The sequence below is a fragment of the Homo sapiens genome, chromosome 12 (genome assembly GCF_000001405.40).
Source record: "Homo sapiens chromosome 12, GRCh38.p14 Primary Assembly".
NCBI lineage: Eukaryota > Metazoa > Chordata > Mammalia > Primates > Hominidae > Homo > Homo sapiens.
Window position 1 is genome coordinate 5,014,798 of NC_000012.12, and position 10,797 is coordinate 5,025,594.

General features: G+C 50.9%; 1 long non-coding RNA gene across 5 annotated transcripts, besides 2 other annotated features; it reads left to right on the plus strand.

The window, feature by feature from the left end:
* The first annotated feature begins 280 nt into the window (after positions 1 to 280).
* Positions 281 to 10,797, plus strand: LOC100507560 (uncharacterized). 5 transcript variants are annotated; one of them, NR_187676.1, is made up of 7 exons: positions 281 to 3,584; positions 4,064 to 4,245; positions 6,891 to 7,045; positions 7,694 to 7,897; positions 8,727 to 8,824; positions 8,995 to 9,108; positions 10,297 to 10,797. It is a non-coding gene; the product is annotated as an uncharacterized LOC100507560 (long non-coding RNA). The 5 variants fall into 5 exon arrangements; NR_187672.1 differs by having other exon boundaries at positions 281 to 4,245; NR_187673.1 differs by having other exon boundaries at positions 281 to 4,245; positions 6,891 to 6,971.
* Positions 1,433 to 1,502: an enhancer, noted in NCBI's record as "active region_5836". NCBI's record gives its function as "activates an Ori minimal core promoter by ATAC-STARR-seq in GM12878 lymphoblastoid cells {active_cell/tissue: GM12878}" and the evidence as "EXISTENCE:reporter gene assay evidence [ECO:0000049][PMID:35858748]".
* Positions 1,533 to 1,632: an enhancer, noted in NCBI's record as "active region_5837". NCBI's record gives its function as "activates an Ori minimal core promoter by ATAC-STARR-seq in GM12878 lymphoblastoid cells {active_cell/tissue: GM12878}" and the evidence as "EXISTENCE:reporter gene assay evidence [ECO:0000049][PMID:35858748]".

Genomic DNA, 10,797 nt, shown 5'->3' on the forward strand with positions numbered 1-10,797 from the left:
ATTAAAGATGAGATTAGCACCTGAAAATCTCTCTATTATGACTTGAGGGCCTACTAATTTGGCCCTGAGAGGTGTGGCCCTTCCTAATTTTGACAGTGAGAAATATATCGCCCTGGGTCCTGATATAGAGGACCTGTAGAGGCAGAGGGCGGTGCCCTGGATAACACCCCTCCAGTGGAGAAAGAAAAGACCCCATTATGACTGCTGCATCCCTCTCGGAAGATGGCACGGGAGGCCAGCACTCCCGCCAGTACACACCAAAGTATCGTGGCCCAAATTATCCAGCTTCATCTTCACTGTCTATACCAGTCATGTTCAATGACTTATAAAAAGCAGTGATACTCTTCTAGTCCAATAAAATCTTGCACAAGCACAGAGAAAAGAGGGCGGGTGGGTCATTGTTTCAGAGGGGGAAGGGCTGACCATTTTCTTAGGGCCTCTCTTTCCCCACGCAGAGAGTGGTGAGGCCTGATGAGGCACCTTTGCTCTGAATCCCAAGCATCTGAAAACCCCTTGTCCCATCTAGGTGAAAGGATGGAGGGAGGGAGGGAAGAAATAGAGGAATGAAGGGAGGGAGGAAAGAATGTTGCTTTTCATTGCCACTTGCACAGGATTCTTGTGGGAGCCAGTAGGGAAGTTGCTATTTTGAATCGGATAAATTGGGGCTTCCTCTTCTTGTTCATCAAGACCACTCTTTGGCTCATTTCATCCCAATAAAACAAACCACGACACACTACCAGACTGAAGAGACCGTACAGTGCACTTTTAAGTGTCTGGGCTCCAAACCAAACTGCCTGGGTTTGAATCCTGGCCCTGCTACTTATCACTGTGTGATACTGGACAAGTTACTTAACCTTTCTGTGCCTGTTTTCTCATCTGCAGAAATAGGTGCTGATAGTACCTACCTCATGGGAGTGTTGTGAGGAGAAAATGTGTTAGCATGGGTACGACGTTTAGAATGGCATTTGCCACATGGTCTGGGAATAAATGTCAGCTGTCATTATGCTGTGGGTATATAAATACACTACTCCTTGCAATATCAGTTTTTGCCCACACAATTTCCAGCCCTCTGCCCTCAGGTGAGCCAGCCTGTCTCATCTCAGGGCCTCATGGTGGCTTAGCTCACTCAGCAGTGGGAGCAGGTGGCTGAGCTGCAGTCAGGGTTCTGTGAACGCGGTGGGTTGAGGAGGGAAAGGAATGAGGTTTGGAGTCCTTTTGTTGTTTTGCTTGGGTCAGAAGGAATCTGTGGTAGCATGCAGTCATGATCTTATTTTACAGCTGCAGGATGTTGGTAGACAAACTTCTCCCTAATCTATATGATCTATAAGCCCAAACGGCCTTTAATAGGGGGCGGTCACAGGAGGTCAGTGGCCTCCTCCTTCACAGCAGCTATGTGATGTGGCTGAGCTCTGAGAAAGAGCACTTGGCTGTGGTGCAACTGGCCTAGAATTCATAGCCCCATTCTCTTGATCTGAGTTGCTTCTGGGGGATGAGCGTGGCACCACAGCGTCTCAGGTGCTATATAGGGGACTTCCCAAGAGTTGCCCGTATCGGTTGTAAGGTGCTGTCTACATGAGGGGATGGTTTTATGAATACACAAGGGAGAGTTACCAGCAGAGTGATGGCGAAAGCTTTGAGCTAGATGGTTTTCATCTTCCTGAAACATCGCCCTAGGGTTTTCCTGATGTTTCCATCAATCTGTTAAGTGCAGTGTGTGGTCGTGTCCCTCAGGGACTTTCCCATTTACTCTGGAAGACCAAACTTATAGGCTACACTCTGGGTGCAGACAGTGCTAGTCCTGTGGGGAGTTGGGAAAAAGGAGTGGGAGGCTTTGTGGCCGAGGAGGGGCTTCAGGGCAGCAAGGATGACGGCTGGGTTTGAACAGTCAGTGGAGAAGGAAGTGTGGAAAGGCCAGAGAAGTAGACATGGATGTGTGCATGCCAGAGAGGGCAGGCAGACAGGGTTCATGGAGGGGGCAGAAGCAGCACATTGACCTCTGCTTCTGCCAGAAGATCAGAGGGGATATCGGGGGGGTGGTCTGGCCAGAGTAAGGGCAGCCTTGAAGCCCCGATGGAATAATTTTGACTTGATTCTATGGAAAATGACATACGACAGTGTAGGAGGGCTTGTCTTCTAACTGAAACCAGCTGGGAATCTTTCCCAGTAGAGTCAAGGGCAGGGCAGAGCGAGGGCCTTTGGCAGCATGTGCAAATGTACATGCATGTAACCATTGTGTGTGGCCCACCATGCTTTTAAACCTACCTTTACCTCCTCTAGTTCTTCATATCTCTTAACCCTCTTGTCTGTGAGCATCAACAATCCGGGGCTTACACAGACAACACCACAGTGTGCCATCTTGCCAGAAGGAGAAACTGAGGCACTCTATTCTAAAGAGGCTGGTTCTAGGACCTGCCCTTGAATCACTGTGGAGTAAGACCCAGAGTGTGGGCTGCCAGGCCCCTTCCTTCAGGGATCTGGCTTCTAAAGTTGGTTCTTTTCCTGTATCTCATAAAGAGGGAAAGGATGGGCCTAAGAGAGGTTATTTGGACAAATGGCCATTGTAATTGCCTCCTATCAGACACAGGTGGATAGAGGCAGGTGTGGGGAAGAGGGCTGCCTGGATCTGGGATTCCCAATCCCCCATACTCCTTGGCCTATTGTTGAGGGGGAGCTAGAGGAGGGGTGCGGACTTAGCAGGTTAAGAAAGATAAACGCTTACTCTTTAACAGTGGGAAAGAGGGACGGAAGAGTAAGATTGAAATCTGAGGCAAGAGGAGTGGCCTAACCTGGTGGAGGCAGGAGAGGCGCGTGTCCTCTACATGCCCGTCCAAGTCCCTGGTAGGTTCGTCCTTGCTCTGAGGGAAGAGTGTGGGCCACAGGCCATGGGGACACTCTGAGGATGTGGGTGCTGCCCATCTTGAAGTTTCTCCCCACCCCTCTCCGGAGCTGCTACCATTGTCCTTTGCCCTCGGAGTGCTCTCCTCCCACCCCCGCCGCCTCTTGTTCTCTTTCTCCCTTGAGCCGTTAGAATGGCAGGGAGCCCAGCCAGGGCCTGGACGGCGGCCTCAGCTCCCTGTTCTCAATAATTGTGTGTGTGTGCATGTGTGCATGTGTACGTGTGAGTGCCTGTGTGTGTGCATTGTGTGTAGGGGCTGGGGCTGGAGTCGACAACAGATCAGAGCACAGGAGTAGAGCGCTTCTGGGAGGGTGGGGCCACCCGTGAGTCACGTCCTGCACCCTGGAGCCCAGAGGACCCTTCGCTCAAACCCACCACCAGCTGGCAACACCGGACCAGACCAGCCGGAGCCGCTTTCTTCGCTGCGCAGAGGAGCCTGGGAGAAGCCAGAGGTGTAAGTCAAGCTGTGGAGGGACTGGGTGTGGCTGAGCCCCGTGACAAGTGGGAGGAGCCAGGGATGCTTGGGAGGGGAGGCACTGTGCGCGAGAGAGGAGGGAAAGGGGAAGCGTTCGTGCCTCTCTGCCCCCTGTCCCCCTCTTGCTGCATAGTAGCCACATCCATGTCTCTTGTACCCTGCAATCTGGAGGCCACTGCCAGAAGCTGGAAATCTCAAGTAGAGCAGCAAAAGGTATGAGGATTGACACAAAGTTGTGGCCGATGGAGGCTCCCCAAAGTGCATGGAAGGTGGTGATCCAGTGTCTAAAGGCAGGAGTACTGGGGCAACCCCATAGCTGGGGGTCCTATGGGAGAGACTGAGGAACTTCGGTTTGTGGACTCTCAGTCAACTGTGTTACTGAGGAGGGGAAAGGAAAGTAGATGAGTTGGTGGTTTGAACAAGACCCAAATCTTGCTTCTACTTATAGGTGCTCACAATGGCCAGTGCCCTGGAAAAGCTCTGGAATAAATACACCTGGGCCTTAGAAAGCAGAGGCAGGAGACAATGCCATCCAGTGGGAGCTTTCATTTGTTTCCTCAGCCAGCCTCTGTGTCAGGCTTTTTGGGAACAAGGGCTGGATGAACAAGACCTTGGGAGTTCCTGTGGGGAGGGACTGGGGGTGAATGGGCAGTGTGGCTGGCCCGGTGATCACTTCTCCTCTGCTTGTCTAGGCTTGAGGATGGATTCTTGGCTCCTGGTGCATTGCCACTCCCTGCCACCCTCCTCCTTGTCTTCTATCTTCTCCTGGTGGCGTCAGGCCTTGCTTCGTGTCCCAACAGGAGCCTCTGGGGCTGGCACAGCCCTCACTGCCTACAACCTGGGCCTGGTGGTTCTCCTAGGGTGCCTCTGGGAGGTAAGGCTGGTGGGCTGGGGTTCCTGGAGAGTTCTAGGATCTTTTTTTGGAGGGCTGACCAAGGGATAAGTAGAACCATGATATTCCTACATAGAAAATTGAAAAGCCTTTTTGATGGGGTCACATGCAGGAGCTGGGATTCTGTGCCATCGTTGGCTGCTCAATCCCTGTTGCAAACTTTCACTCTTCATTTCCTCACATGAGAGAGTACAGGTCAGTGGCAAGCCAGAGTGGAATTCCTTATCCCTCCCACCTCATGTGGATCCCCAGTCTCCTGTTTCCACCTGGGCTCTGTTCATCTCTGCCTGGTTTTCTGATCCCCAAATCTGGTATTCCTTTCAGACCTTGTAAACAGTCATTCAGCAGGTGTATATCAAATATATGCTTCGTGCCAGGCTGTGTTTGGCCTGCAGAATCCCTGTTGGATAAGGCCCCCCTGCCCTCCAGAGGCTCACAGTCTAGAGGGGAGACAGGTGTGGACACAGGCAGTTGCAATGCAGTGTGTTGAGTGGGCAACAGAGAGGATGTATCACGCACCAAGGGCAGGCAGGATGGGGCAGTAACCTGGTCTCTGGTCCAGGGGTGAGGATGTCAGGAAAAGCTTTTCACAGGTGGTAATGATCATCACAGATGTGTTTCCATGTTGATTACAGGCAAGGAATTGGTGTCGACACTTTATGAGGATTGGCTCATCTAATCCTCATGATAGCACTGTTTGAGGCACAGAGGGGTTAAGTAACTTAGCAGGTGGCAAGGCACAGAGGCAGAGTGCAAACCAGGCACCCTGACTGAACAGCTTGCAGCCTCCTCCTCCATCTCTTCCACCTGTTGGTGAGTTAGCAGGGAGGAGACAGAAGAAGCAGGTCCGGACAGCCCCATCTCTTCCAACTCCTCTTCGTCTCTTCCTTTCTTATTGCTGAGCTACAGTGCATCCTCCACCCTACTGACAATAATCTACCCCAAGCACAGGGAGGATGGTTCCACTGCCTGCTAGGAGCCTCTGATGCTTCCCATCCCGCAGAGGCTGAGGCTGAACCCCCTTCATGGACACATGAAGCCCTCTAGAGTCCTCTCTGGCCTTGTCTTCCACTCCGCCTCGTCTCCCTCTATATGCTCTCAGCAGCCTTGCACACCACCCTCATCCAGCACAGGCCTGCTCGCCAGCCCACACAGCCATGCTCAGCAAGTCCTCAGGCCTGGGCACATCACTGATTTTCTGCCAGAATTGCTCTTGTCCCCCAATCTCCTGACAAACTCCTGCACATCCTTTAGATTCAGGTCAGTTGTCGCCTCACAGGAAGCGGTCCCTGACTCCTCTACGGCCAGGTTATTTGTTTCCTTGCTTAGCCATTCCCAGCTCTGGGTACAGTCCTGGACTTTCTGAGGTGGGCTGGAGCCACTCTACCCGCGGGTGAGCACCAGGTGTGGGTCTCCCCGCAAATTCATGTTCAGTGACTTTGTGCGAAATAACTTGAAGTCCCTCCACCCTGGTGGCAGTATTTACACCATAGGAATTGACAAACCCCGCAGACACCTCCCCCACCTTAGGAGCTTATTAAGGATATACTGACCCCCCACTGACTGTGTCTTTCTCCAACTGTGTCACCACTTTCGTATGTGTCTTTCTCCCCTCCCAAATGGCAAGTACTTCAAAGGCAAGGCCTCTGTCTTATTTATCCGTTTACAGACAGACCCAGCGTACTGTCTGGTAGCACATGAGGGCTGCCAATAACTCATGAGACGTGAGGCATGCCCTAGAGAATTTGTCATTTAATTATGGCAACCAGGCATTCTCCTGCCACCCCAGTCCCTTGAAAACTCTGCCACGCCCACAGTCAGCTTCCTGCTCAGAAACCTCAGTAGGTCCTTTTGCATATATGGCCAGAATGCCATGTCCCCCAAGGTAGGGATTTGTATCTGTTTGGTTTTATCAATGAGATCCAGTGCTCAGAACAGTGCCCAGCATGGAGAAATGCTTTGTACCTTTCAACACATTATTGTCAAATAAATCAATAAATGATAAAATTCAAGCTCCTTACAACAGGCTTCAAGACCCTTTATTCACAATTCTGTCTCTCCAATTCTGTGGCCAGCTTCTCCTTTGGTCAGAGCCTCCGCACCAGTCCCGCTGATCTCCTAGTTAGCCCCTCAGGTCCAGGTACCACATACTCTTGTCCTGGCATGAAACTCCCACTCCCTCCCCTCTGTCTGCCCAAAGCCGCCTCATTCTTTGATCCGACTCCTGGAACACCTGCTATTTTCTACTCTTCCTCTAGCACCAACCTGTAAGGTTAGGATTTTTTTCTACATTCTCAGCCAGGCTTTGAGCTCCTTAGGGCAGGGCTGGCGTATGGACCACCTTGGTGTCTCCAGCACCCACCTCAGGCTTTCATGCATAGTAGGCACCCGGGGTAGGGTTGTAGCCTATATTTGCTCACATTAAAAAATTAGAGACCAGCAAGATATATGCAAGTTGCCGCCTCTAACCTCGCCACCCCATGGAGTTTCTTTTTAGCAGTTGTTGACCAAGTGTCAGCAGAGGTTGCATTGGGGTGTTGGTGTTCAGGAGCCCGAGCCAGTCGGGGCTCACCATGGTGGCAGCAGGCTTTATGACTTGGTCTTTTCCTCTTTCCTTTTCCTCTCAGGTCATGGTCACCCCGCTGCTGGCTAACTGCAGCTACTTCTGCCAGCCAGTGGACTACAGATGGAGAAAGCATGGAATGAGGGTATGGCAGGGAGCAGGAAGCAAGCCTGGAGAGGGTTAGGAGGAACAACTTCATAACAATCGGAGGTCAAGGAGGTATCACCTGAGCCTTTTGATGAGAGGCAGGGGACTAGCTAGTTTTGGAGTCAGATAACATCAATTTGGATCTCAGCTCTGCCAGTTACTTGCTGTGTGACTCTGGGTGGCACACCTAACTCTTCTGGGACTCAATTTTCTTATCTATAAGATTGAGATAATAATACCTATTTTATAAAGCGAAATGATTGAAGGAAGACGGAATCAGATAATATATGATAGATAATATATGAAAGTGTTTAGCACAGGGGCCGGCACACACTGAGCGGTAGCTAGGTGGTAGTGATTTCATCACTGTTAGCTGTTCTCTGTTTCAACTGGAAGCAGAACAAAAGACTCTAGCTGAAGCCTGTCTCCAGGTAGCTAAGGCTTCTCACCAGCTGATATGGATGTTGAGTCACTGGATGTTGGTGATGGGCTCATGTCCTGTGACTCAAAGTATGATCCTTGGGCCAGCAGCATCATTTGGGAGCTTGTTGGAAATGCAGAATCTGTGCTCCACCCCAGGCACACTGATTAAGAATCTTCTTTTCAACGAACAAGATGCCCACATGCTCATTAGATTCCAAGGTTCTGGGCTGGGGCACATTTGGAGAGTCCTTCTGTGGTCACTCCAGTAGCTTCTCCCCTTCTTTCCTGTGCGAACAGGCATCTTCCTGGAGACAGGAAGGTAGGCACTGTGGAATCAGCGGTGCGTAGAACAGTGAGGATTTGGGGCTGAACCCAGCCCAGGTGGGCCAAGCCGTGGCACCAGCCGGACTGCAGTCTGATGGAACTTCCCCTTCCTGCCCAGCAGATGGCGAGCGTGTGCTGCTGGTGCCTCTTTCCAAAGGACGTTGAATTGCTTGACAGGTAAGATCCCGGACCCATGGGCTCCTGTATATCCGTCAGCCAAATCTGGGGTGGTGTCTGACTCTGCCAGCAAGAATGCTCTCTAGGTTTGCCCAGGCAGCCATGCCAGAGACTAATTTCAGAGTAAAGCCTTGGTCCAGTACCTGGCTGAGGGAGGATGCTCAGCCACTGAGGTAGCATCCCTCTCTGCCGGCTCCCCTGGTCCCTGCTTTCTATCAACAGAAGTAGGAGTAGGCATTTGCCCCATTAGTATCCAGGTTCCAGGTAAAATTAAAATGGAAAATTAAACAAATTTTAAAACTGACATGATATAGCAAGGGTCATCCAACGGCAAAAGCCATCCTTCCATGTTAATGAGAAGAAACCTTGCTGGTGAGGCCAGGGAGCTTGTGGGATTAAGCAGGGTGGGGCAAGAGCATAATGTTGGTGTGGTTGGTGATGAAAAGAGGGTACTCTTTCTTCTCAGTCTCTTGCCAAAATGATCTGAGCAAAGATCACGTGGGAATGTGTTGTGTGGGTGTCCGGATTTGGGCTGACTGTTCAACACCTGAACTCTTACCCCGGTGGCCTGGGGGGCAAGGATCGGACATTGGAAAGAACCCAGTCTCTGAAGCCAGACTGTTCTGATCCCAGTTTGGCCACCTACTAGTTGTGTGCCTTTGGGCAAGTTACTTAACCTTTCTGTGCCTCTGTTTTTTTTTTTTTTTTTTTTCTTGAAAAATGGAAGTAGTAGAAGTATAAACTGCACACAATTATGTGGTATTTAAGTGATTATTTTATACACATAAAGTAGAATAGTGTTCTCTTCCCTCCTCTTCCCACCACACAGCCCTGCCCAGCATCTAGAAGACCACCTGAAGCTTTCACACTTTGAGACCTTAGATCCTGCGAGGGTTTGAATTTCAAAAGCTTCAATTAAAGCACACAGTAGGTCATAAATTGGTGTTTGACTGTTGTTATTTCCCTTTAGTTTTACTCTCTTCTTCAGTAAAACAGGTAGAATTACCATATCCCACTCTAAGGGGTAGTTGAGGCCCCTGGAGAAGTCTGGAGAAAGGAGACCTCCAGAGTTGATGCCATCTCTTCCTCCTCTCCAGGTGTTCTTTACTTTATGAATGAAGCCAGAGCAGCCCACCTTCCTGCATCTCTACCACCATGGCACCATGCCCTGTGATGGGTGGGCTGGAGTCAAATATGTAGCAGGCAGCCAGGTAAGTGATGCGCGCCGTGGACGGCCCTGCTCCAGGCCCTAGTAAGGCAGGTCTGCTGGGCTGGTCTGCTGGGCTGAGTCCCAGCTCAGGAGACCTGCATCCCTGGAATATCATGGCTGGTCTCTAACTTTTCCCTTCCCTGAGGTCATGAGACCAGGCCTCTGCTCCCATTTGTCCCTGTGGCTCCTCAGAGCTCTCGGGCTACCCCTCTCTGGGATGGGGAGGTGGCTGCTGGGAGATGCTCATAGCCATCAGCCCAGAGAACACAAAGGTAGTAGAAACATTCTCATTGAGCATCTCAATAACTCCAGCCCTCCATCATCACGATCTCAGATGGCTCATGCCGGACCTCTGCAGGATAAGGTCTTTCCAGGGATTCTCTGTGGAGATTGCAGAGGTGCTCTCTGCAGCTTGGAGGATTGAAACATCAAAGAGAACTCCCACACCACAGCTAAGCCCAGCTCCACTTATTTTCCTTTATCTCCCCACACCCCACTCTGCAGCCTTCTTCATAGGGATGCTTAATTCTTTGGTCCATGTCTTCATGGACTGGCCAGGTTGTGGCCTTCTATGTGGCCCTGCTTCTGGTGGAAATGATATCTTACCACCCTACAGCTGGTAAGGAGATCTCATTGGCTCCAGGGGCCTTGGCTGAACCCTTGGTTCTATTCTTGGCTTGTCACTCTATACCAGTGACTTGGCATCTGCCCATAAACAAGCCCTCTCATCCTTAGATCTTCCTTAGCTTCCTAACTTGCAAGGGCCTCGGTAGCCATCTCATCAGATCCTGGAACTAACCCTAACTCACTGGCACAGTGTGGGACTTTGAGCAAATGGCTTCCATGCTCAGGTCTCAATGTCATTATCTATAAAATGAGGGCCTCAGCCAGATGACCTCTAAGCATTAATATCCTGTGAGTCTGTGATCACCGATTGCACCCTCCAGGTGCCTGGATGTCTTGCAGTTTTGGGAGAACCACTGCCCCCCAGATGGTGATGACAGCCTAAAGTGTCCCATACGGGGCTCTGGATAGACTGAGTTTATCATCAGGGCCACCATGACATGGCTGGATGGGGGAATTGGGGAAACCACGACCAGGAGAAGGGTCAAGAAGATTCTTGGGATCATGGGGTGGAAAAAACTGACTGCTCTCCCTTCTCTTTCTTCTCATGCTTTCTTTTGCCCAGGGTCAGTTTGTGGCCACTGCTGCCCCCTCTTCCTACAGTCTCCTCACTGAGTGCCCCTTCCCTGTTGGGTTCAACACATCTGTGCTCCTGTAAGCCCTCAGCCTCCTCGTTCTCTTCCTCAACTTCTACCACCAGACACATCTGAGAAGCAAGCAAGAGAGGCTGAACTAGGAGCAGGACCCAGGGACTGAAACCAGCACAGCATCCCCACAGAGAATTGGGTGGAAGGCAGCATGGCTTCCAGCTTACTGGTGCTGAGCAGATTGCTCTGGGTCTCCATTGTATCCTCTGAAGGAAGGAGGAGGATTGCCTTCTGTCCAGATCTCAGGATCAAACAAATAGGTCCAATTTCCTGTGCTCACTTCAGTTAGAGCACTTCTCATGTGACTTTGTAGCTTTGTGTGCATCTCCTTCCTCTACTAGACCTAAGCCCCTCACGGGAGGGACTCTCTTATTCTTGATGTTCCCCACACCTGGAATTTCAATAAACATCTCAATAAA